At 42.9% G+C, this 27,228-nt stretch overlaps 1 protein-coding gene across 2 annotated transcripts in view, besides 1 other annotated feature; it reads left to right on the top strand.

Moving 5' to 3' along the window:
• The window catches only part of PXT1 (peroxisomal testis enriched protein 1), a 52,304-nt gene that overhangs the window by 22,023 nt on the left and 3,053 nt on the right, over window positions 1-27,228 (top strand). For both annotated transcript variants that reach the window (XM_011514400.3, NM_152990.4), the window contains one exon: window positions 20,248-20,378. In XM_011514400.3, the coding sequence (XP_011512702.1) occupies window positions 20,248-20,378 (131 nt within the window). The remainder of the gene's footprint in view (window positions 1-20,247; window positions 20,379-27,228) is intronic.
• Window positions 20,738-20,787: a silencer, noted in NCBI's record as "silent region_17114". NCBI's record gives its function as "represses an Ori minimal core promoter by ATAC-STARR-seq in GM12878 lymphoblastoid cells {active_cell/tissue: GM12878}" and the evidence as "EXISTENCE:reporter gene assay evidence [ECO:0000049][PMID:35858748]".

The raw sequence follows: 27,228 nt of genomic DNA, 5'->3' as shown, positions 1-27,228 counted from the left end.
ATCCGCCCACCTTGGACTCCCAAAGTGCTGGGATTACAAGTGTGAGTCACCACGCCTGGCCCTGAGATACTTTTAAATTTAAATTTTGAATAAGTATTTATGAATTAATAATAAGTGACTTACCAATTTTAATTTTATAGCACGTTGTAAGTGCTATATGTTTGCTTAAAAAATATATTTTCTTGGCTAGAAAAATAAAGAATATGAAAAGGCATACAGTGAAGACTCTCTCTTTCATTCTTGTCCCCCATCTGCTCAGTTCTCACTCCCCCAGTTCCCTATCTTAGGCAACTATTGTTCTTAGATTCTCAGGTATCTTTCCAGAATTTCTTTATACAAGCATGGACAATTGTGAATATGGACTTTTGTTCCTATTTTTGGATGAAAAGTATCATATTAAGCACATGATTCTTACTTGCTTTGTCACTTAATATGATTTGGAGATCCTTCTGCATTAATGCTTAAATAACTTCCTCATTGTTTTTTACAGTGGCATAGTATTCCATTGTGTGGATATACCATAATTTATTTAAACTGTTCCCTACTGACTTACACTTGGGCTGTTTCCAATTACTTAATATTGAAACCAATGCTGCAACAGATAACCTTAAACATATTTCTGTTTGTAAAATTTGATTGATAGATAGATAGATAACATTGCTCCCTACATAGGTTGTACCAATCTAAATTCCCACCAGCAATTGTGAGAGTATCTCCAGGCTTTTACAACAGTGGCTGACATGTTGTAAGTGCTATATAAGTGTTTGCTTAAAAAATAGATTTTCTTGTTTAGAAAAATAAATAAATGAAAAGATGTACAGTGAAAAGCCTAGCCCTAAACCCACCTACTTAGGAGCTTACTCTTGGCTGAGGTGAATCAATGCATTGAGACCCTGGCCCTCTCTTCCCACACTATCTTCTCCCTCCCACTCTTGACTCTGTTGTAGGGTCTTGGAGATTTGGGGACCATTGCTGATCAAAGGCCAAATATTTCGCCTGGTTCTAAACCGGGAGCTTTAAATACATGAATGTGCATTATTGTTGCTGTTTTACAACTTTAAATGAAAGGAGAGCTGACTTCAAGACAAATGGAAAGGTAATGCTGTTTTTAGATAAAGCTACAGAGTAGCCAGCCTTTTTCATACAACCCTAACCTAATCAACAAATATCTATTGAGTACTTCCTATGTATAGGGCACTGAGCTAGGTCTTAGAGTTATGAAATAGATACATGCCCTCAAGGATTTCACCATTTAGTTGTTTAGACAGGCACAAAATATAAATAATCATTATGTCAAGTTTCAACATGCTTTTGCTTTTGGCGTACTCACTGCTTTCCTTCCTGTCTCCTTCCTCCTCTGCCCCTTTGCCTACCTAACTGCCCTGATCACTGAGCTGCCCAAGGCTTGTTGGTTTCCTTGTAGCTCCTTCATTTCTCCCAGTGTCCATTATTGAAACTTACCCAACTTGTATTTCACTTTCCTGATGCAGATATTAGGGTTTGTATTTCTCAAGTGATAATTAGTTATGATTAGTTATTCTGTTAAACTAATAGTTACAAATCAATATGCTTTTGATTGGCACAGGCAGGCCTAGCCCATTTGGAAGTAGGTGAAATTTGTTCAGTCTTCCCATTTGATTCCTGTCTGGGCACCTTCTCTCCTGGGTGAGCTCTCAACCCTCATTGATGTCCTCACTTTTTTTCAGGTGATTGTCAACTAATCATTAGGGTGTTATTTCAAAATGGTTTGAAGTGAGGATCTCAGGAGTATGTGTATGTTTCAAGATACAATTTTATAGAAAACTGAAATTACAGGCAATAGGGTTGCAATTTTGATCAGAAGGCCGTAAGCCACCGACTTAGGGACTTACCCTTGGCTGTGGTGAATTAATGCCCTGGCCCTCCCTGCCCCACACTATCTCCCCCCTGCCACTCTTTACTCTGTCATGGGATCCTGCAGTTTTGGGGACCATTACTGTCAGAGAACTTTGAACCCAGCTGGCAGCTGTGGCTCAGTGGCCTCTGGAGGAGAGTGGGAGTGTAACGGTGGAAGTGAGTCGGTACTCTCCAGTGCCCTCAGGCACTCTTCCCTTTATCTTCTCCCAGTCAGCTTGCAGCCTCGCTGCCCATGGTGAAAGGTGATTTTTTTTCAATCTCTATCACTCTGTGTAGGTGGCTGCCTTTTCCACTCAGCAGAAGTGGTTCTCACTAGTTGCCCAATGTATTTAAAAGTGTGGATTTGTATACTGATGCTGTATTTTTGTTGCATTAATTTTTTTTAAATCAAAGCAACTCAGGTTCATGGAAACAAATCAACTAGTACAGAGAGCTTATGTTGAAAAGGGGCTTGGACCAGCACCTGGCACATAGAAAGCCCTCTATTTGTTGAATGAATGAATAAATGAATGAATACAAAGTCAGTGTCCAGCCTGTCCTTTTCACCTCCACCCCATCCCACCATTCCATTACTAGCAGTGAAATTCCTTAATTGGTCATGTTTTCCAGTTTTCTAGATCCGTGATTCTTAACCCTGGGTGCATGTTAGAATTATCTGGGGAGCTTAAAAAACAAACAACAACAACAAACCTATGTGTATTCTCATTCCCAGACTAACAAATTTACTTTTTTTTTTTTTTGAGACGGAGTCTCGCTCTGTCGCCCAGGCTGGAGTGCAGAGGTGCGATCTCAGCTCACTGCAACCTCCGCCTCCTGGGTTCACGCCATTCTCCTGCCTCAGTCTCCCAAGTAGCTGGGACCACAGGCGCCCGCCACCACGCCCGGCTAATTTTTTATATTTTTAGTAGAGACGGGGTTTTACCATGTTAGCCAGGATGGTCTCGATCTCCTGACCTTGTGATCCGCCCGCCTCAGCCTCCCAGAGTGCTGGGATTACAGGCATGACCACCGCGCCCTGCCCACAAAATTACTTTTTAAGCCTCCAAGCTGATTGTCTTGTGCAGCCAGAATTCAGAACCAAACCAGTGTTCTAAATAATGTGCATTTACATTTATTCCTCTCTCTCTTTTTTTCTTTTCTTTTTCTTTCTTTCTTTTTTTTTTTTTTTGAGACAGGATCTCACTGTGTCTCCGAGGCTGGAGTGCATTGGTGCAATCTCAGCTCACTGCAGCCTTGACCTCCTGGGCTCAAGCGATCCTCCCACCTCAGCCTCCCAAGTAGCTAGGACTGCAGGCGTACACCACCACGCCCGGCTAAGTTTTTGATTTTTTTTTTTTTTTTTTTGTAGAGACGAAGTCTCACTATGTTGCCCAGACTAGTCCGAAACTCCTGGGCTCAAGCGATCCTCCTGCCACTGCCTCTCGAAGTGCTGGGATTGCAGGAGTGGGCCACCATGCCTGGCCTGCTGCTATCTCTTGGTTAATCAAACTCATATCATTCATTGACTCCGTGACATGGCAGATGAGGTTTAGCGCATACTGCACCCTCTCTTTTTCTCATATTTGATGTTAAATTATTATTATTATTTTGAGACGGAGTCTTGCTTTGTTGCCCAGGCTGAATTGTAGTGGCGCAATCTCGGCTCACTGCAGCCTCTGCCTCCCGGGTTCAAGCGATTTTCCTGCCTCAGCCTCCTGAGTAGCTGGGATTACAGGTGCCCGCCACCACGCCTGGCTAATTTTTGTATTTTTAGTAGAGATGGGGTTTCATCATTGTTGGCCAGGCTGATCTCGAACTCCTGACCTCAGGTGATCTGCCCGCCTCGGCCTCCCAAAGTGCTGGGATTACAGGCGTGAGCCACTGTGCCCGGCCGTTAAGTTATTTTAATACTTCTCTCTGTTGTCTTCATAAACTTAAATAATTTGCACTCCTATTTCTTATTTGATCCATGTTCAGCAATATCACATGAACTCCCATTTTGTAGGATGAAGATACTAACTTCCATGTCTTCTTCTCACCCAGTCTTCTGGAGCCTTCTATTTGTTCCCTATATTTTTTAATTCTTACATTTTTGAAGTTGTTACCATTTGCATTCTGGCCTCCAGCCACAGTCAGCTCTTCCATGCTATCCGTAAGTTGTTTCTAAAAGTTACAAACCAATAAACTTGGTTTACATTATAGTATCTATATAGTGTCTATCACCAGGTCTAGTGATAGTAGCTGACATTTATATAATACAGGATTTATTGTATAGTAGGTACTTTATGAACATCGTTGTTTAATAGTCATAATGATCAGAAGGTCCCTTTTTAAAAATGGGGAAACTGAGGCACAGAGAAGTTGAGGCTTACCTAAGAACAGGAAGTCAGAAAGTGACTGAGACAGAACTTGAACCATTTCCTACAGAAGGATAGGATGAATTTTTTTTTCTTTAGGTACAAGTTTAGGACCCTTGCCAGCTGGAAAGACAATGCACATCAAGGTCAAATACATATTTTTCTCTTCTCTGTTTTGGGGAGGAATAAGGGTGGTCTTTGGGTCCAGTCAGTTTTCTTTTTTCCATTTCTGTTTATTCTTTTTAGAGATAGGGTCTGGGTCTTTGTCTGTTGCCCAGGCAGGAGTGCAGTGGCATGATCATAGCTCACTGCAGCCGCCAGCTCCTGGGCTCAAGCGATCCTCCCACTTCAGCCTTCTGAGTAGTTAGGACCACAGGTGCACTCCATCACACCCGGCTATTTTTCTTTTCTTTTCTTTTCTTTTTGGTAGAGACAGGGTCTTGGTCTATATTGCCCAGGCTGGTTTCAAATTCTTGGGCTCAAGTGATCCTCCTGCCTCAGCCTCCCAAAGTGCTGGGATTGCAGACGTGAGCCACCCTGCCCTGCCACTTTTTTTTATTTCTGGTAGTGACTAATTTCAAACACTTCAGGATCTCTTTCCTTCTTAGCAGATGGACCAGTCTCCTGTTTCATATACAAAATTGATGTCTTCAGGGGTAAATACCTGAATCTTCCTCTCACTTCTTCCAGACTTCCTTAAATGAGCATCATATCTTATCTCCTGTCCTGTCTCAAAGGAAGGGGGAACCCTCCTCCTGTTCAAAACTAATCCTCATATTTGTATTTACATTCCTTCTTAACTTCTGGGACTTCACCTCAACAATTTGCCCTACTGTATCTCCCATTTTCTGTTGCTCCTGATCTAATTTCTCTCCTCAATCTGCAAACCTGCTCAAGACTCAACTAAGAAAGTTCCTCCAACACACCTCCTCCAGCTACTGCCAATTGTCTCATTCCTTCATCAGGACACTTCTTAGAAGAGCAGTCTACACATATTGATGCCAAGTCCAGTTTGGTAACTCAAATTCATACTCACCGTCATGAAAATTTCCATTCATCCCCACTACAAGACCAGTTCTCTTTTCTTATACTTAGAACCTGGGTTATACCAGCAATTCTTTTTGTTTTATTTAATTAATTAATTAATTAATTTTTTGAGACAGAGTCTAACTACATCGCCTAGGCTGGAGTGCAGTGGTGCGATCTCGGCTCACTGCAGCCTCCGCCTCCCAGGTTCAAGTAATTCTTCTACCTCAGCACCCCCTAGTAGCTGGGATTACAGGCACGCGCCACCATGTCTGGCTAATTTTTGTATTTTTAGTAGAGGCAGGGTTTCACCATGTTGGCCAGGCTGGTCTCGAACTCCTGACCTCAGATGATCCACTTGCCTCAGCCTCCCAAAGTGCTGGGATTACAAGCATGAGCCCCCGCGCCTGGCCGGCAATTCTTTTTAAAGGATCAATTTGTCCTTGGCAAGAGACTTTGAGCCTTCCTGAGATTGATTTGTAGGCCTGCTAAATTTAAGCAAATTATTTCGAAATTATTATTCAGACCAAAGATTGTTAAGAATTAAACATTTAACTATGATAAATTTGATTATGAAAGGGCATGCCCTTTGAGTTGGTGCCATAACTATTGATTTTGTACTTGAAATATTTGCATCTTCAAAGCGATTGAATTTAAAGCACTAGCTAATGCTCTAAAATCCTCATAAAAGAAACCACTTTCCCCAACTAAAAGAAGAGGTCACTTTGAGTTTGAGATGAAGCCTTGAGCTCTGGTGAGGTGGTTTATCTCTGAGAAAGGGAGACATGTATTTTCCAATCTGGCAGCAGATGGCCCAGAATGTGGAGAGGCCAAGACTTCCAGTACTTTCAACCTCATTTTTTTTCCATGTTGTGTCAGCATTCCAAAGGTAATGTTCAAATACTTCCTTGAAATTCCTTTAACAGTCTGGGACTTAGGGGTGGTGGCTACCAGCAACGAAGACTCTGTCCTGGAATGACTTTACCTTGAGAAAAATCACCTAAAATTATGCCTAGTTATACAGATAAAGCCCTGCCAGGTTTAACACAGAGGAATATCTTTTTGGAAGGAAGTATAAAACAATCCCTTCAGTTTAAACTTAAACCACATTTTAATTTGCTTCATATTTGGACCATAAGCTTCCTATATGATCTTTTATTGTTTTCTGGACTTTCTCATTTCCTTTCCTCCCCTCCTCCATGTGATTTGTAATTATTACATCCTCAAACTTCCCTAAGTTCTAAACCATACAATCACTTCCACCAAGTCTCCCTTTCCACTGGGAACTTCCCTTTGAGAGTTGTTATCTTGCTCCAATCTGGTTACTCTCTAGGCACACTGCATCACTGAGATTCTGGGACTTCCCTACACATGGGTTGGAGCCACCTTTTGTTAAATCTTGTGGTTTTTTCTTCTTAATTTAGTCTTACTCTATTTATTGTGTTTTACTGGAATACTTCCTCAAGAGGCTTCCTAACAAATGGTGTATGGAAGAAAAATTCCTGAGTCCTTGCATGTGTGCAAATGTCTTCATTAAACGCTCCCATATTTTTAATTTTTATTTTTATGTTTTTAGAGACAAGATCTCACCCTGTTTCCCAGGCTTGAGTGCAGTGACGTAATCTTAGCTCACTGTAGCCTTGAAGTCCTGGGCTCAACCTGTCCTTCTGCCTCAGCCTCTTGAGTATCAAGGACTATAGGCTCATGCCATCACATCTGGCTAATTTTTAAATTTTTTTGTACAGATGGGAGTCTCACTATATTGCCCAGGCTGGTCTCAAACTCCTGGGCTCAAGCAGTCCACTCATATCAGCCTCCCAAAGTGTTGGGATTACAGGCGTGAGCCACTGTGCCTGGCCCCGCCTCTCACATATTATTGACAGTTTAGCTGGGCATAGAATTCTAGATTGAAAATAATTGTTTATAACATCTTTGAGGGCATTAAAAAATTTCTCCCACTATATTATAATATCCATTGTTATTGATGGGAAGTCAGTTGCCAAATGAATTCATGTGTCTCCTCAAAGGTTTTAAAGAGTCTCCTTCTATTTATCCTTGGTGTTTTGAAATTTCAGTATGTTCAAAGGGTGAAGTTTTTATTTCGCCATTTGCTGTCCTGAGAACTTGGTAGGAGTTTCTTTCTTTCTTATTTTTTTTGAGATGGAGTCTCGCTCTGTCACCTAGGCTGGAGTGCAGTGGAGACATCTCTGCTCACTGCAAGCTCCGCCTCCTGGGTTCACGCCATTCTCCTGCCTCAGCCTCCCGAGTAGCTGGGACTACAGGCGTCCACCACCACACCCAGCTAATTTTTGTATCTTTAGTAGAGATGGGGTTTCACCATGTTAGCCAGGATGGTCTTGATCTCCTGACCTCGTGATCCGCCCACCTCGGCCTCCCAAAGTGCTGGGATTACCGGCGTGAGCCACCGTGTCCGGCCAGGATTTTCTAATATGAATGTTTGTGCCCTTTATTTCTGGGAAGCTGTTTTGCTTTGTTTTGATCATTTCCTCCTCTGTTTCACCCTCCCTGGAATTCCCATTAATCAGATGCTGGTCCTTTCATATTGTTTCTCTGTATTACCTATCTTTTCTCTCATGTTTTCAACTTCTGATTTTCTTTCTTTGAGATTTCCTTGACTTAACATTTTTTCTTTTTTTTTTTGACTTAACTTTTTTTCAGGCTATCAATTGTATTTTTAATTTTGGCGATCATATTTTTTAAATCTGAAAGATTTTGTTCTAGGATTTTTCTTTTTTCATAGCATTCTCTTTTGTTTTATGAATGTAATATTGTCTTAAATCTCTCTCTGAACAGGCCAGGTGCAGTGGCTCATGCCTGTAATCCCAGCACTTTGGGAGGCCAAGATGAAAGGATCGCTTGAATCCAGGAGTTCAAGACTCCATTTTTTTTTTTTTGAGACGGAGTCTTGCTCTCTTGCCAGGCTGGAGTGCAGTGGCATGATCTTGGCTCACTGCAACCTCCGCCTTCCAGGTTCAAGTGATTCTCTGGCCTCAGCCTCCCGAGTAGCTGGGACTACAGGTGTGCACCACCACACCCAGCTAAATTTTGCATTTTTAGTAGAGACGGGGTTTCACCATGTTGGCCAGGATGGTCTCGATTTCTTGACCTCGTGATCCGCCCACCTCGGCCTCCCGAAGTACTGGGATTACAGGCATGAGCCACTGCGGCCAGCCTATTTTTTTTATTTTTGTTTTTATTTTTGAGACAGAGTCTCACTCTGTCACCCAGGCTGGAGTGCAGTGGCACAATCTCGGCTCATTGCAACCTCGACCTCCCAGGTTCAAGCGATTCTCCTGCCTCAGCTTCCCGAGTAGCTGGGATTACAGGTGCACGCCACCACGCCTGGCTAATTTTTGTGTTTTTGGTAGAGACGGGGTTTCACCATGTTGGCCAGGCTGGTCTTGAACTCCTGACCTCAGGTGATCCACCTGCCTTGGCCTCCCAAAGTGCTGGGACTACAGGCATGAGCCACCGCGCCTGGCTCCATTCTTATTTTTAAAAACCTCTCTAAACACATACATTAGAATTTGCAAAACATTATTTTCTTTCACTGAATTATGTGTTTTCTTCAGGATTACTGTTTTGATTATCTGGTATTTGTTTTTTTGGCAAGGTCTTACTCTATTACCCAGGCTGGAGAGCAGTGGCAAGATCTTGGCTCAGTGCAGCCTCAACATCTTGGGCTCAAATGATCCTCTCACCTCGGCCTCTGAGTAGGTGGGACTACAGACACACATCACCACGCCTGGCTAATTTTTTGTTTGTTTTTATTTTGTAGAGATGGGGTCTCACTATGTTGCCCAGGTTGCTTTTGAACTCTTGGCCTCAAGTAATCCTCCTGCCTTGGCCTCCCACAGTGCTGGGGTTACAGGCATGAGCCACCTTGTAGGTAATTCTTTGTTATTTTAGTGAAAGATACACTGGATAGCTAGTGTGGGTTTTTTCTGCTGTTATGTGAGAACTGTTCCCCCAGATGGGTAGTAATAACTAACATTTATATAGTGTTTACCTGTGTTCTAGGCACTGTTCTGTGTAACTCATCAAGTCATCTCAACAACCCCTCTATGAGGTAGTTACTATGGTATTTCTTTTTTCTTTTTTGAGATGGAGTTTCACTCTTGTTGCCCAGGCTGAAGTGCAGTGGCGGGATCTCAGCTCATTGCAACCTCCACCTCCTGGGTTCAAGCGATTCTCCTGCCTCAGCCTCCCGAGTAGCTGGGATTACAGGTGTGCACCACCATGCCCAGCTAATTTTTGTATTTTTAGTAGAGACGGGGGTTTCACTATGTTGGTCAGGCTGGTCTCGAACTCCTGACCTCAGGTGATCCACCCACCTTGGCCTCCCAAAATGCTGGGATTACAGGCATTGAGCCACTGTGCCCAGCCATGGTATTTCATTAAGTTCAATATTCCATCAATTGTAAGATGAACCATTATTTTGTTTACTACTAAAAAGGTAAATAATGCTGTTGAAATATGACATGCCATTATGAGATTATAAGACACATACTGATTATGCAGGTATTCAAGATCTTAGAATGAATAAAATAATACATTACTATTGCCATTTTACAAATGAAGAAGCTGAGGCATGGAGAGAATGGATAACTTGTGGCAGGTTACATAGTTAATATGTAGCAGATTTTATATTTGAATCCAAGCTTTCTGGCTTCAGAATTCTACCACTATGCCTAAGTGCCTCTCCAGGACTCTCCCAAATGGAGACTCAGATGGTGCATAGGAGGGTTTTGAGCTGTCTGGGCTTTAGGGAGATGAGTTAGTTTCTGGCTCCATGTCCCGCAAATGCCAGAACAAAGAGACCTTTAATTTGAGGTGCCAACGTCCATCAAGAAGCTTCTGCTTTCACCACAGGGTTTGACCTCTTCCATTAAAGAAGAGTGGTCTGGATTCCTTCCTTCCTTCCCTCCTTCCTTTTCTTCTTTCTTCTTGCTTTCTTTTCTTCCTTTTTTATTTCTTCCTTTCTTCTCTTCCTTTTCTTTCTGTTTGTCTTTCCCTCCCTTCTCCCTTCTCTTTCTCTCTCTTTCTTCCTTCCTCTCTTCCTCCCTTCCTTTCTTCCTCCCATTTCCTTCCTTCCTTCATTTCTTTTTTTTTTTCACTCTTGTTGCCCTGGCTGGCGAGCAATGGCGCTATCTCGGCTCACTGCAACCTCCGCCTCCCGGATTCAAGCGATTCTCCTGCCTCAGCCTCCCAAGTAGCTGAGATTACAGGCATGCACCACCATGCCAGGCTAATTTTGTATTTTTAGTAGAGACAGGGTTTTTCCGTGTTGGTCAGGCTGGTCTCGAACTCCCAATGTCAGGTGATCCACCCGCCTCGGCCTCCCAAAGTGCTGGGATTACAGGCATGAGCCACTGCACCTGGCCTTTCTCTCTCTCTCTCTCTCTCTCCTTCCTTCCTTCCTTCCTGGTCTCGAACTCCCGACCTCAGGTGAGCCACCTGCCTTGGCCCCCCAAAGTGCTGGGATTACAGGCACGAGCCACCGAGTCCCCCAGCCACCCTCCCTTCCTTCCTTTCTTTCTCTTTCCTTCCTTCCTTTTCTTTTTCTTTCTTTCTTTCTTTCTTTTTTCTCTTTCTTCCTTTCTCTTTCTTTCTTTCCTTCGTCCTTTCTTCCTTTCTCCCTTCCTTCCTTCCTTCTTTCCTTCCTTCCTTCCTTCTTTTCTTTTCTTTCTCCTTCCTTCCTTCCTTCCTTCCTTCCTTCCTTCCTTCCAGACAGGGTCTTGCTCTGTCACCCAGGCTGGAGTACAGTGGAACAATTATGGCTCACTGCAGCCTCAAACTTCTAGGCTTAAGTGATCCTCCCACCTCAGCCTCCCGAGATCTGAGACTACAGGCACACACCACCACACCTGGCTAATTTTTTGTATTTTTTCTAGAGACGCGGTTTCGTCATGTTACCCAGGCTGGCCTCAGACTCCTGGCCTCAAGTGATCCTCCCACCTCAGCTTCCCAAGGTGCTAGGATTACAGGCCTGAGCCACCTTACCTGGTCTGAATTCTCTTTTCTTTCTTTTTATTTGCCTGAACTCTGTGCTAGGTACAGTGAGCTGGGGGCACCAAGTGGTGCAGTTGATCCCCATCAGACTTCCAGTTAAGGGTGCGTCTCCCTCTCCCAGTCTCTGCGTCTTGGTGGGGTAGATGGGCTTCCAAGCATCAGGAGCCCCTGTGGTGGGTTCTCTGTGCTTTCTGTCCTGGTTTGTTTATTTGCATCTTGTCTCATCTGCTTTCTGCCTTCCAGAAACACACATAGGTCTCTCATCTGTTGTTGACCTGCCTCCCATTCTCTTCAGTGTTCTGGCCTTGTTCTTTTTCATACTTTGATTTTGGTGAGGTCTTGGGGGAGATTAGGAGAGATGGAGAAGCCAATGCTTGTGCTCAGTCTTGAACCAGAAGCCCCTAGACCCCTATTTTTAGTGAACAAAATCAGGAGTATAAATGGATGACCACTACGTGAGAAAATAAAATATTAACATTATGCCTGGCAGTGGAAAGGCACTTATAAAACCTTCACACCATGTTTGCTTAAAAGCTTTCCTAAATACAACTCGAGGGACAGGTGATGGGAGGTCCTTACGTAGGATTCTCAAAGTACAATAGTATTTTTTAAAGTTCCGACACATTGAGGCTGATTATTTCCTTTACAAAGTATTTTTTTTTTTGAAACATGGTCTTTGTCACCCAGGCTGGGGTGCAGTGGCATGATCATGGGTCACTGCAGCCTCAACCTCCCAGGCTCAAGCAATCCTCTCACCTTGGCTTCCCAAGTAGCTGGGACTACAGGCACTACCATGCCCAGCTAATTAAAACAATTTTTTTTTTTTTTTTTTTTTTTGGTAGAGACAGGCTCTCCCTGTGTTGCCTAGGCTGGTCCTGAACTCCTGGGCTCAAGGGATCCTCCCCCAACAGCCTCCCAAAATGCTGCAAAGCACCTGACCTACAAAAAATTTTTTTTTCTTTTTTGAGAAAAGATTAACCAAGTCCAGGCATGGTGGCTCACTCCTGTAATCTCAGTACTTTGAGAGGCTAACGAGGGAGGATCACTTGAGCCAGGAGTTCTAGACCAGCCTGGGCAACATGGTAAGACTGTCTCTACAAAAAATAAAAAATTAGCTGGGCATGGTGGTACATGCCTGTAGTCCCAGCTACTTGGGAGGCTGAGGTGGGAGGATTGCTTGAGCCTAGCAGGTTGCAGTGAGCTGTGATTGTGCCACTGCAACAGAGAGAAGCAGAGAGAGGCAATAGAGAGAGACCCTGTATTAAAAAAAAAAAAAAAAGGCTGGGCGTGGTGGCTCACATGTGTAATCCAAGCACTTTGGGAGCCTGAGGCGGGTGGAACACCTGAGGTCAGGAGTTTGAAACCAGCCTGACCAACATAGTGAAACCCTATTTCTACTAAAAATACAAAAATTAGCCGGGTGTGGTGGCAGGCTCCTGTAATCCCAGCTACTCGGGAGGCTGAGGCAGGAGAATCACTTGAACTCGGGAGGTGGAGGTTGCGGTGAGCCAAGATCGCGCCAAGGCACTCCAGCCTGGGCAACAGAGCAATACTCAATACTCCATCTCAAAAAAAAAAAAAAAGAAAGAAAAAGAAAAAGGATTAACCAGCTGGGCTTGGTAGCGACACATGTTGAAGTCCCAGCTATTTGTTCTTGGGTCAGGTGTCCACTTCTGATCCAATCCACTTTGGCCTGGGGTTGTGGTGGGAAAATGTAGGAAGGAAACTGATTGCTTAGGCAACAGGATAGATTCTCCTGGAGGGAAAATCTCTATCTAGGAGCAATAGGCTATACCTTTAAATAGGCTATACCTTTAATACAAGGACCTTAAGTTGTGTTTTAGGATTCTGAATCATCATTATTATCACACACTTTGGACGCGGAGGCAGGAGGATTGCTTGAGCCCAGAAGTTCAAGTCCAGCCTGGGCAACATGAGACTCCATCTCAAAAAAAAAAAAAAGATTAACCATGAAGTTTTTCCAAATTCCTTACTGGGCCATTTAGACTATGACTTTATCTTGAGACTTGTGTGTGGATGTATACATATTCCCACAACTTTTCAGTAACAAATATTACATAAAATGAGCAACTTTTTTCTCCTAGATATTAAAATTTTAATACTTGGAAAATAATACAGAGTTTTACTTTTTTCATTCATTTTGAATCTTGTTAAAGGAATTTTTTTGCCTCCAATATATAACTAGTTTAGAGCTGTGATCTAATGATTTCTTCCCTGTTACAATGTTTCTTACAATATGGTGGTATAGCTATCTTAGTGTATAAATGTCTGTAAGGCAGGTGCACCAACTCTCTTTAGCTAGCAAATAATGTCATATATAGGTTGAGTACTGCACAGCTCTCAATCTGTTTTACATTGAACTTTTGTGAGGAGTAGTAAATGACCAGAACTAAAAACACAACCTACTAGTATCACGAACTTAATTTTTAAATTCCACTTCCAGAGTCTGTGCTGAAGCTGATTTATAGCCAACATATACTCCTACAGTTTTATGTACATTCGACAGCTCTGGACAATGGAAATAATGGATATAGATATTTAAGATTATTTGTTTAGCTGCAGGGAAGAGAAATCTACTTCAGTCACCTCCAGAAAGATGTGGTTTCTGGTGAGGATGCTTATGAAAAGGAACTGAACTTGGAGGGCTTGGGCTCTGAGGCAGGCTGGCGCTGGGGCCCAGTCTTTCTTGAGTCTTTTTTTTTTTTTTTTGAAATGGAGTCTCACTCTGTCGCCCAGGCTAGAGTACAGTGGTGCCATCTTGGCCCACTGCGACCTCTACCTCCCGGGTTCAAGCGATTCTCCTGCCTCAGCCTCCCAAGTAACTAGGATTACAGACATGCACCGCCACACCCAGCTGATTTTTGTATTTTTAGTAGAGACGGGGTTTCACCATGTTGGCCAGGCTGGTCTCGAACTCCTGACCTCGTGATCCACCCACCTCAGCCTCCCAAAGTGCTGGGATTACAGGTGTGAGCCACCACACCCGACCTCTTGAGTCTTGGTTTCTTTCTGATTACCTGTTCAGTTTTCCTTTATTAGCCAACATCCCCTGTCCTTTCAATATTTTCTTCCTCTTCATAATTTTTACTTACAAGTGGCTTCAACTCATCATGGCCCCAACATAGTCCTGTGGCATTTGTGATCCCAATGCCACCCATGCCCTTAGTCTCCTGAGTCTATTGAGCAGAGAGGAACCTGAGTGACCCTGTTCCTTTTGGGACTAGGTTCTGAGTACTTGGCCAGGCAATGGATTATTTGTTCTTGGGTCAAGTGTCCACCTCTGATCCAATCCACTTTGGCCTGAGGTTGTGGTGGGAACATGTAGGAAAGAACCTGATTGCTTAGGCAACAAGATAGATTCTCCTGGAAGGGGGTGTGGGCAAATCAGATAGTGATTGGCATCTTTAAAACAAGGACCTTAAGTTGTGTTTTAGGAATCTGGATCATCATTATTATCACACATACACTCAAATCATTACACTAGTCATGTGTCAATGATGGGGACAGGTTCTGAGAAATCCATTGTTAGGTGATTTCATCATTGTGTGCACATCAGAGAGTGCACTTACACAAACCCAGATAGTATAGCCTACTACACACCTAGGCTAGACGGTATAGCCTGTTGCTCCTAGGCTACAAACCTGTACGGCATGTTACCGTACTGAATATTGTAGGCAATTGTAACACAATGGTGTTTGTGTATCTAAACATAGAAAAGGTAGAGTAAAAATATGGTATAAAAAGTAAAAAGTGGTTATCTTTTATACCATAAATTGAGCCTGCAGGACTGAAAGTTGCTCTGGGCAAGTCACTGAGTGAGTGGTGAGTGAATGTGAAAGCCTAGGATGTTACTGTACACTACTGTAGATTTTATAAACACTATACTTAGGCTACACCAAATTTACTTTTAAAAGTTTTTCTTCAGACCATCCTGGCTAACATGGTGAAACCTCGTCTCTACTAAAAAACTACAAAAAGCCAGGCGTGGTGGCACGTGCCTGTAGTCCCAGCCACTTGAGAGGCTGAGGCAGGAGAATCACTTGAACCCGGGAGGCAAAGGTTGCAGTGAGCTGAGATCGCGACATTGTACTGCAGCCTGGGCAACAAGAGCAAAACTCCATCTCAAAATAAAAAAAAAAAAACAGTTTTTCTTCAATAATAAATTAACCTTAGCTTACTGTAACTTTTTATTTTGAAACTTTTACATTTTGAACTCTTTTGTAATAACATGGCTTAAACACAAACACATTCTATAGCTGTACAAAATTATTTTCTTTATATCTTTATTCTATAAGATTTTTTCTATTAAAATTTTTTTATGTTTTACTTTGTTAACTTTTTGTTAAAAACGGAGACACAAACACATATATTAGCCTAGGCCTACACAGGGTCAGGATCATCAATATCACTCTTTTCCACCTCCATATCTTGTCCCATGGGAAGGTCTTTGGGGGCAATATATGCATGGAGCTGTCATCTCCTATAATAACAATGCCTTCTTCTGGAATACCTCCTGAAGGACCTGCCTGAGGCTGTTTTCAGTTAACTTTTTTCTTTTTTTTGGAGCCAGAGTCTCACTCTGTTGCCCAGGCTAGAGTCCAGTGGCGCAATCGTGGCTCACTGCAACCTCTCCCTCCCAGTTTCAAGCAGTTCTCTGCCTCGGCCTCCTTAGTAGCTGGGATTACAAGTGCATGCCACCACGCCCGGCTAATTTTTGTATTTTTAATAGAGACAGGGTTTCACCATGTTGGTAAGGCTGGTCTCAAACTCCTGACCTCAGGTGATCCACCCACCTTGGCCTCCCAAAGTGCTGGGATTACAGGCGTGAGCCACTGCGCCCAGCTCCCCCCATCTTTTTTTTTTTTTAGTAAGTAGAAGGAGTATACTCTAAAATAACAGTCCGGGCACGGTGGTGCACACCTGTAATCTCAGCACTTAGGAAGGCCAAGGCAGGTGAATTGTTTGAGCTCAGGAGTTTGAGACCAGTGTGGGCAACATGGCAAGAGTCCATCTCTACAAAAAACACAAAATTTAGCTGGGCATGGTGGCATGCACCTGTGGTCCCAGCTACTCAAGAGGCTAAGGTGGGAGGATCACTTGAGTGATTGGCGGCACAGTAGGTTTGTTTACATCAACATCATCAAACACCTAAGTAATGTGTTGATGATGTCACTAGGTGATAGGAATTTTTCAGCTTTATTGTAATCTTATGAGACCACCATTGTATACGTGATCCGTGGTTGACTGAAACACAGTTATGCGACCCATGGCTGTGTTCTTATACTGTAGTTAACCAAGTAACAGTGCCCATTAATACATTTTAAAAGTAAATTTTCAACAAGACTTGAAATATGCCTTTCCTGACATCATTTTCCTGGTTCCCTTTTTACCTCTTTGATTTCTTCTCAGTCATTTCTGTGGACTTTTGTTCCTTTGCCTATCTTGTTAACCATCTGTCTTATCCAGAGGTCCTGTCATCACCCTTATAAACTCTCCTTCAATCACAACCTCTCGCCTACATTGTTATTGAATAAATGAAGGAATAATGACTCTTAAATCTTTATCTTAAGTTCTACATCCCCTGTGCTTCAAATGTTATCCAAATGCTGGCTAAAACATCATAAAGGTACCTACAATTTATTTATTTATTTTGAGACAGGTTCTCTCTCTGTCACCCAGGCTGGAGTGCAGTGGCACAATCTCAGCTCACTGTAGCCTTGACCTCCTGGGCTCAGTGATCCTCCCACCTCAGCTTCCCAAGTAGCTGGGACCACAGGCATGTACCACCATGCCCAGCTAATTTTTTGTATTTTTGGTAGAGATGGGGTTCTGCCATGTTGCCCAGAGTGGTCTCCTGAGCTCAGGCAATCTGCCTGCCTTGGCCTCCCGAAGTGCTGGGATTACAGGTGTGAGCCATCATGCCTAGTCAGTACCTAAAATTTATAAATGAACTCAAGTTTTCTTCTTTCCTTTTCTACTGGCCTCCTCTGCCTTCCACACCTGCCCTCTCTCCATCACGTTCTCTGTACAGGCTGATGCTGCCTTTGCCATTTCAATCCCCCAAGCCTGAAAAGTGGGAGTTTTTTTCCTCCCTGTCTCTATCTAATACTAAATCCCAGCCTATTCTGTTTCTTAAATATATAATCTGTTTCCACTATTACATCCCTATTAGTACTGCTTTAGTTCAGGGTCCGTGCTAAGGTTAATTGCATGGGCTTTGCAGCCAGACATACTTGAGTTTAAATCCTGACTCACATTCACTGGCTTTCAAACCCTAGGCAAGTTACTCAACTGCTCTAAACCATCAATCCTCAAACTTGCCTGCACATGGGAACCACCCGTGGAGCTTAAAGAAAATACTGGCCAGGTGCAGTGGCTCATGCCTGTAATCCCACCATTTGGGAGGCCGAAGTGGGCAGATCACTTGAGGTCACGAGTTTGAGACCACTCCGGCCAACATGGTGAAACCCCATCTTTACTAATAATACAAAAATCAGCTGGGCGTGGTGGTGCTGAGATAGCACCATTGCTGGGTGACAGAGTGAAACTGTGTCAAAAAAAAAAAAAAGAAAGAAAGAAAGAAAAGAAAAATAAAAAGAAAAATACTGATGCTTGGTCCAACTGCAAGGCTCCTGATTTCACTGGAGTGGAGAGAGGCCTGAGCATTGGGAGTTTAAAAAACCTCCCCTCCGGGAGCTCTCCTTTATCTCTACTGGATAAAGTTCAAGCCTCTTCTTGTGTCTTCTCTATTAGCTTTGTCTCCTATGTCCCTCCCTTTCAACAACAGCACTGCTTAGAGTTTATGCATAAAACCTCCCTGTCTGTCACCCCCAAGCTTTTGCTCACTTGATCCTTCTGCCTGGAATGTCCTGTTTGCACTCTCTCAGCTGGCTCTTCCCCAGTCTGTGTCTTCTCCAGGCTAATTCTTAGTCATCCTTTATCCTTCAAGACTTAACTCAGATATCACCTACTTCGTTTCAGATGTCTTCCTGACCCATCTGTGCAAACCTCGTTCTTACTCTAACATGTTGAATTGTAGTTTATGTCTCTCTCCCACTGGACTCTTTGAGTTCAAGGCTGAAAATCAAAGGTCCTCCAATTTTATTGAAATGAAATAGGTTCAACACAACTCTTGCTTTCTCTATGAAGCCATACTTATGTCTATGTTAGCCCAAATTCATTTCCTTCTCTTCTGTAGTCCTAAAGCACTTGGGAATATATCATCTCTAACCCATGGTTTCTAAGTGACTGAAGGACAGAAACCTTGTCTGTATTCTTTAGACCTTCCCCAAAGCACCTAACAAGTGTTAACTTATAGTGTTGCTTAAAAACGCTCATTGGTTGCTGGAAGCAAATAAAGTTTGGAGAGCTCATCAAGGAGAGTGGGTAAAAATATTAAATGGGGCTGGGCATAGTGGCTCATTCCTATAATCCCAGTACTTTGGAATATCAAGGTGTGAAAATCACTTGAGCCCAGGAGTTTAAAACCAAGACCAGCTTGGGAAACAAACAAAGACCCTGTGTCTATTAAAAAATATATATATACATATATATATATATATGCATGTATACACACATTTTTTATATATAGTTATTCAAAATAGATTTTCCATTATATATATATACACACACATATATAATATATATGTTATATATATAGTGGAAAAATCTATTTTGAAAAACTATAAAGATCTATTACTGCTTGTCCAATACAATAGCTACTAACCACATTTGGTTATTAGCACTTGAAATGTGGCTGGTGCAATTGAGGAACTGAATTTTAAGTTTTAATTAATTTTAATTAATTTAAATTTGAAAACTGATCATTGATTTAATTGTTAGAGCCCTTTTAAGTATGTTTGAAATGACCTGGATATGTGAATCTATTTTTTTTTTTTTTTTTTGAGACAGGGTCTTGCTCTGTTGCTCAGGCTGGAGCGCAGTGGTGTGATCATAGCTCGCTCCAGCCTCCCCTCCCGGGCTCAAGCAATTCTCCCATGTCAGCTTCAGTCGAGTAGGTGGGACTACAGGTGTGAGCCACCACACTTAGCTAATTTTTAAATTTTCTGTAGAGACAAGGTCTTACTATGTTGCCCTGGCTCAAGTGATCCTCCCAGTTTGGCCTCCCAAAGTTTTGGGATTATAGATGTGAGCCATTGCATCTGGCCTGAATCTACGTTTTAAACTGTCAACTTCATGAAATCTAAGTATAGATCAAGGTTTTCCAGTGAAAAGTTAGCATCTAAATTGAGGTGTCCTATAAGTACAAAATAAACACCAAATTTCAAAGACTTAGGTATAATTTAAAAATGTAAAATATATCATTAATAATTTTATATTTATTAATGTTATAATAATATTTTGGATATATTGATTTAGGTAAAATAAATTACTAAAATTAATTTTACCTGATTTTACTACTTGAAACTTTAAAATTACATATGTGGCTTGAATTATATTTCTATTGGAGAGAGCTGATCTATTCCAATAGATAGGCTTTGCTTTTTGATAATTATTATAATAACTGAATTTCAACTCTTTTTTTTTTTGAGATGGAGTTTTGCTCTTGTCACCCAGACTGGAGTGCAATGGTGCAATCTTGGCTCACTGCAACCTCTGCCTCCTGGGTTCAGGTGATTCTCCTGCCTCAGCCTCCTGAGTAGCAGGGATTACAGGCACCCGTCACCACATCCAGCTAATTTTTTGTATTTTTAGTAGAAACAGGGTTTCACTGTGTTGACCAGGCTGGTTTTGAACTCTTGACCTCAAGTGATCCACCCACCTCGGCCTCCTAAAGTGCTGGGATTACAGGCGTGAGCCACTGCATCTGGCCAACCCTCTCATTTTCTAAGACAGTTTTTAGTAACTAGTGGTAAGTGATTTTACAGATAATTAAGTGGGATTATCTCTTTTGAACTCTTTTTTCTCAATGCAGATCATAATCTACTTTCTCAGCCCAAGGAGCATAGCATTGTTCAGAAGCATCACCAGGAGGAAATAATTCACAAGTTGGCCATGCAGCTGAGACACATTGGGGACAACATTGATCATAGGATGGTTCGAGAGGTGAGGCTTCAGTTTCCCCAGCCAGGGCCTGTCAGGTAGGAGGAAAGAGCAAACAAAACTACGGCTGCCAAGTGTCTGAGATGCCCAGGAATTATCAGAATTAATGGAATAATGCTGTCTGGATTACCAAATGTTAGATCTAAACATTGTGAACCTGAGCCAAAGCTGGCATTTAATCTCATACTTGCTACTCAGACTGTGGTCTGTGGACTGGCAGCATCAGCATCACTTGATTAGATGTGCAAGATCTGAGACTCCAGCCCACACAGTCAGACCAGCCCACACAGTCAGAATCAGAATCTACCTTTTTACACATTCCCCAGGGGATTTGTGTGCACATTGAAGTGTAACAAACTGTTTCACACCCTCAAAACTGGATGCAATTAGAATCACCTGTTGAGTTTTAAAAACGACAGATGCCTGGGCCCAACCTGGAGAAATTCTGATTTAATTGGCACAAGGTAAGGCCTGGGAACCTGGCATTTTAAAAACTGCCTCAGTGAATCTAATGCACAGTCAGGGAGGAGAACCTATGCCTTGGACTGTGGTTATCCTCCCTGAATCAGCCCGAAGGGTAGGATGCAGGCCCTACCCTGGCCGGTTTCTTAGAATCTCCTGATTATTATAACAGATGATAAGGGAAAATAGGAAAGACTAATGATTACTGTTTGAAATTTTGGGGGTGATGAAATCCACAGCTAACTTAGTTTTCCTCCGAAACAACCTGTATTTGGCAGGAGAGAATGATTACATGGGCTTTGTGACAGACGGGGTGGCAGACCTCTCAGAGCCCAACTTCTTGCCCTTAGATTCAACTATCCTGTGAAGCTTTCTTGGTGCAGCTTCCACCATGCTGTCCTCCACCATGCATGCCACAGGGAGTGCCGTGTACTCTTTTATACTCAGGTCCAAATGTGGACAACACACAGCCTTTCCCTCAAATAAAACATCCTGGAGACAAAACATGAATGGGAGATCCCAACAATAATGCTATAAAAGCAAGAGGGGGCCAGGTGCGGTGGCTCACGCCTGTAATCCCAGCACTTTGGGAGGCCAAGGCGGGCAGATCACTTGAGGTCAGGAGTTCGTGACCATCCTGGCCAACCTGGTGAAACCCCGTCTCTACTGAAAAACACAAAAATTAGTCAGGCATGGTGGCACACACCTGTAGTCCCAGCTACTCGGGAGGCTGAGGCAGGACAATCTCTTAAACCTGGGAGGCAGAGGTTGCAGTGAGCTGAGATTATGCCACTGTACTCCAGTCTGGATGACAGAGTGAGACTCTGTCCCAAAAAATGAAATGAAATGAAATGAAATGAAATAAAATAAAATAAAATAAAGCAAGAGAGAAATAAAGAGAAAATAAACATAGAGAACATAGGCAATCAAATAAACTATTTGATAAGCCAATTTCATTCCAACAAATATTTATTGAATGCCTACTATATGCCAGACTCAGTTCCAGGCATTGGTGGCTACAGCAGTGAGCAGCAGGGCTCATAGAAATGATGTGGGGAGGGGGCAGATAACAAGGCAGATGAACAATAAATAGCCAAGTCAGACAGGGATGCAAGCTCCAAGCAGGATCAGGGCACACTGACTGATGGAGAGTGACTTCCAATGGGCTGTCAGGGAAGGCATCTCTGGGAAGGTGATATTTAAGCAGAGCCTGGAAATGAAGGAGCTAGCCATGAGAACACCTGGAGTGGGAAAGTGTTCCAGGCAGAGGGAACAGCCAGTGCAAAGCCCAGCCCCACCAATCTACTTTGTGTCTCTGTGGATTTGCCTATTCTGGACATTTTATATAAGTAGAATAACACAACATGGAACTTTGTGTATGGCTTCTTTCACTTAACATACTTTTTTCAAGGCTTATCCACATTGTAGCATGTATCAGTATTTTACTTCTTTTTACAGTTGAATATTCTATTGTACGATATACCACATTTTGCTTATCCATTCACCAGTGGTTGGACATTTGGGTTGTTTCCACTTTGTGGCTATCATGTATAATGATGCTGTGAATGTTTGTATATAACTTTTTGTGTAGACATGTTTTTATTTTTTTGGGGTACATACCTAGGAATGGAATTGCTGGGTCATGTGAAATCTCTATGTTTCACTTTTTGAGGAACTTCCAGACTGTTTTCCAAAGTGGCTGCACTATTATACACTGTGGCCCACCAGCAGTGTATGAGGGTTCCAGTTTCTTCACATCCTTGCCAACATTTGTTATTAACTATCTTTTTGATTGTAGCCATCCTAGTGAGTATGAAGTGTATCTCATTGTGCTTTTGATTTGCATTTCCCTGATGAATAATGTGCATCTTTTCATATGCTTATTGGTCATTTTTCTCTTTGGAGAAATGTCTATTCATATCCTTGTCCATTTATAATTGACTACTTATCTTTTTATTATTGTAGGAGTCTTTTTTTTTTGAGACAGAGTCTTGCTCTGTTGCCTAATCTGGAGTGCAGTGCTGTGATCATAGCTCACACAGCCTTGAACTCCTGGGTTCAATTGATCCTCCCACCTCAGCCTCCTGAGTAGCTGAGACCACAGGCACATGTCACCACACCTGGCTAATTTTTTAATTTTTATTTTATTTTATTTTTTGTAGAGACAGGCCCTCACTATGTTGCCCAGGCTGGTCCTGGATTCCTGGGCTCCTGCCTTGGCCTAGGAGTCATTTGTATATTCTAGATGTAAGTTCCTTATCAGATATATGATTTGCAAATATCGTATCCCATTCTGTAGGTTGTCCTTTTACTTTATTGATAGTGTACTTTGAAGTACAAAAGTTTTGAATTTTGATGAAGTTCAATTTATCTACTTTTCTTTTTGTTGCTAGTGCTTTTGCTTTGGGTGTCACACTTATGTTTTCTTCTAAAGGCTTTTTAGTTTTAATTGTTAAATTTAGATCTTTGATCCATTTGAAGTTAATTTTTACATACATTTTAGTTAAGAGTCTATCTTCATTTTTTTGCATATGGGTTGTTGTCCCAACACCATTTGGATTTTGTTGTTGTTTGTTTATTTCTTTGAGACGGGGTCTTGTTATGCTGCCCAGACTGGCCTCAAACTCCTGGGCTCCAGAGATCGTCCCACCTCAACCTCCTAAGTAGCTGGGACTATAGGTACATCTCACTGTGCCTGGAGTACCATTTGTTGAAAAGACTATTGTTTCCCTATAAATTGTCTTGGTGTTATGGGATCTTTGGGGTGTCAATTTTCTGGCCGGAAACCTCTGTGGCCATGGCATCTTTTGCCCAAGTTCTTTTCCTGCACCCAGTAAGAATGCATCCAGGAAGAATGAGGTATGCAGACAAGTGAAGGGTAAACAAGACAAAGATGAGCTTTATTGAGTGTTACAACAGCTCAGAGGAGATCCGCAGTGGGTAGCTCCTCTCTGTAGGCAGGTTATCCATTGAGTGTTCAGTTCTCAGCAGAGAGGAGGCCCTGGAGAGAGTAGCTCCTCTTTGCAACTAGTCGTCCCAATGTCTGCAGCTGTCAGTGGAGAGGCGGCCCTGGGAAGGGTGGCTCCTCTCTGCCAGCAGGTCATCTCTGCAGCTCTTAGCAGAGAGGGCAGTTCCTCTCTGCAACTTGTTGTTTCCTCATCTCCAGCTATCAGCAGGGAGGGTAGCTCCTCTCTGCAGCTGATCATTCCATTGTCTCTCTACCCTCTTTGTCCTGAGGACATCATCTGCCCTGCTCTGGCTGAGCCCAAGGCTTATATGGACCTCAGAGGGGAGGCAGTGCATGCTGATTGGTCGATGGGTGGCCATGGGTGGGCCTGGAAGAGGCACCACCAGTCCTCACTCTGGTCCACAGGACTGGCAGCCTAGCCCCCAGCCTTTAGGCCTTCCCTGGCCTGAAGGTGGGGTCTCACTGGGGACCCACCCCCTTCCACCCAGGAATCAATCTGCCTCCGGCGCCATGCGGGACTCAGCCCCAACCCCTGCTCAGAGATTGGAGCAGGCTCTGGGAGCAGAGAGAGGCCAGGCAGTGGCAGCAGACACCCCTGAGCCTTCAGGGGTAGGGGTAGGGTGCTTCCTGGGGCCCCTGAGGGTGCAAGCTGCAGAGATGCCTGGGTCCTGCAACTGGGAGGGTGGCCACAGTGGCACCCAGGGAGCTCCTGCCCCAACTCAGAAGGGGCTGGGCTCCTACTGGCTCCATGGAGCATGTGGCCCCAGCTGCACCTTCCTGCTGCAGCCAGCATGAGGACAGCAGCCATTGCCATCATTGGCACCCTTGTTGAAAACCAGTGGGCTGTAAATATGAGGGTTTCTTTCTGTACTCTCAATTCTGTTCCGCTGATCTGTATAGCTATCCTTATGCCTGCTCCAGCTTTTCTTGCAGAACTTTATAAAGCTGGTTTTGACCTAGACATTTGTTCTGTACTATAAACCTGTAAACTTGTACTTTAGAATACCTTCTTTTGTTTGTTTGTTTTTTGAGACAGGGTCCCACTCTGTTGCCCAATTTGGAGTACAGTGGCACTATCTCACTGCAGCCTCAACTTCCCAGGTTCAAGGAATCCTCCCACGTAGGCCTCCAGAGTAGCTGGGACCACAGTTGCCCACCACCACACCTGGGTAATTTTTTTGTATTTTTTTGTAGAGACAGGATTTCACCATGTTGCCCAGCCTGGTCTCAAACTCCTGGGCTCAAGCAATCTGCCTGCCTCGGCCTCCCAAAGTGCTAGGATTACAGGCGTGAGCCACCGCGCTCAGCCTAGAACACCTTTAAATAGACCACAACACATTTAAAAAATAATAGTTTGAAAAATTCCAGCCGAGTGTGGTGGCCACAGTCCCAGCTACTCGTAAGGCTGAGGTAGGAGGATCGCTTGAACCTGGGAAGTCAAGGCTGCAGTGAGCTGTGATCGTGCCACTGCACTCCAGCCTGGGTAACAGAGTGAGACCCTGTCTCAAAAAAAAAAAAAAAAAAAAAAAAAAATCCTAAGTTTGGCTCTGAAATGCTGAAGGCTTTGCTGCTTCAAAGTTCAAATCAAGGAACTTTAACAGAATTTCAAGTCTGGCATGGTAACTTTCTTTCCTATATAGTCATCATTTATTTACCTTTTGTACTCTGTTTAATCAAGCAGTCACATCGATTCTCTAGATGCCTTCCTGCCATTGATGTATTTAAAGAAACTTTTATTCTTGCTCTTGGAACTGCCTATCAAGCAGCTCATCAATTTATATTTTTATCTGCTAAATGGATTGTTGTTGAGCTGCCAAATTTTTTGCTCTCTTGTTCTTTTTACTTAAGCAAGTGCTCTGTCTTTTCAAAAGTGTTCTGTGTTTCTCAAAATAACATCTTTTAGGCCGGGCACAGTGGCTCACACCTGTAATCCCAGCACGTTGGGAGGCTGAGGCCAGGAGTTTGAGACCAGCCTGGGCAACATAGTGAGACCCCTGTCTCTCTCTCTCTCTTTTTTTTGTTTGAGATCCCTGTCTCTACAAAACAATTTTTAAAAAAATTAGCCAGGTGTGGTGGTGTGTGCCTGTAGTCCAGCTACTTGGGAGGCTGAAGTGGGAGGATTGCTTGAGCCCAGGAATTCGAGGCCGTAGTGAGCTATGATTGTGTCACTGCACTTCAACATGGGTGACAGAGGGAGACCCTGAATCTGAAAAAGAAAAAAAAAATCTTCTATTTTGCCATTGAGTTGTGTGGGGTTTTGGTTCAAGTATCTGCTTTTTTTTTTAATTCAGTTTTTTTTTTAAACCCGGGACATATGCTTTTTCTAGATATAAAGCATGTTTTAAAATAGTTAGGCTTCTCATCACTTTTAGAATTTTAAATATGCCTTTGAAATTTTTCTCTCCTTCTGGGTTCTGGAAACTCCTCCCTCCCTGTCCCTACGCCCCTGTCTCTATGCCCCAACAGAGTTGTCACCGGGTCTAGGTACTACACCATCCTCTGTGGTTTCTCCACACCTTTTAGAGTCTCTTTATTTAACTCACCTCGAATTAGCCTAATTTGGGTGTGCCATCTGTTTCCTCTGGGAATCTGACTGATATCATAATGCATAGGGAATTTCTCAGTTTGTTAGAAAGAAGGGAGGGAAACAAACATTTATTAAAACATTTTTTCCAGGTACTGTTTGAGACACTTCTACATGTTTCATTTAATTCCCCCAATAACCCTATGAATTACTGTCATAGGTATTTCAGGAGAAGCAATGGAGTTTCAGAGAGATTACAAAACTTATCAAAGGTCACTTAGCTTCTAAGTGGCAAAACTAGAATTTAAATATATGAGCATCTGACTCAGTGTTCTATACTTTTTCTTGTCTGCCATGCTGAAAGGAAACTCATTCCGTTTTCCTAGCTGATATCGACTATAAGAGGGGGAGAAAAATCCTTTAATGATTTTCGGTTACTAGCAGGACAAAGTCTAAGTTCCTTAGCCTACTGCTAATGGTTTTTCATTCCTTCCTGAATTCATTTCTTCAACTTATATTGAGCACCTGCTGTATGTCAGGCTCTGTTTAAGTACCGGAGATATGGGAGTGATCAAAGAGACAATATTACTGATCTCACGGAGTTTTTAAGGGAGACAAACAGTATCTACACAAATAAAGTATGTAGTTTATCAGATAGAGATACATGCTTTGGAGAAAAATAAAGCAAGGAAAGGGATAAGGAGTGTTGGGGTTTGCAATTTTAAGTAGAGATGTTAAGGGAAGGCCTCATTGAGAAGGTGACTTTTTTTTTTTTTTGAGGCATAGTCTCACTCTGTCATCCAGGCTAGAATGCCATGGCACAAAGTTGTCACCGCAACCTCTGCTCCCAGGTGCAAGCAATTATCATGCCTCAGCCTCCCGAGTAGCTGGGATTACAG

Source organism: Homo sapiens, chromosome 6, assembly GCF_000001405.40.
Source record: "Homo sapiens chromosome 6, GRCh38.p14 Primary Assembly".
Taxonomy (NCBI): domain Eukaryota; kingdom Metazoa; phylum Chordata; class Mammalia; order Primates; family Hominidae; genus Homo; species Homo sapiens.
Note: the sequence above shows the minus strand (reverse complement) of the source record. Positions and strands in the feature narration are given on the sequence as shown.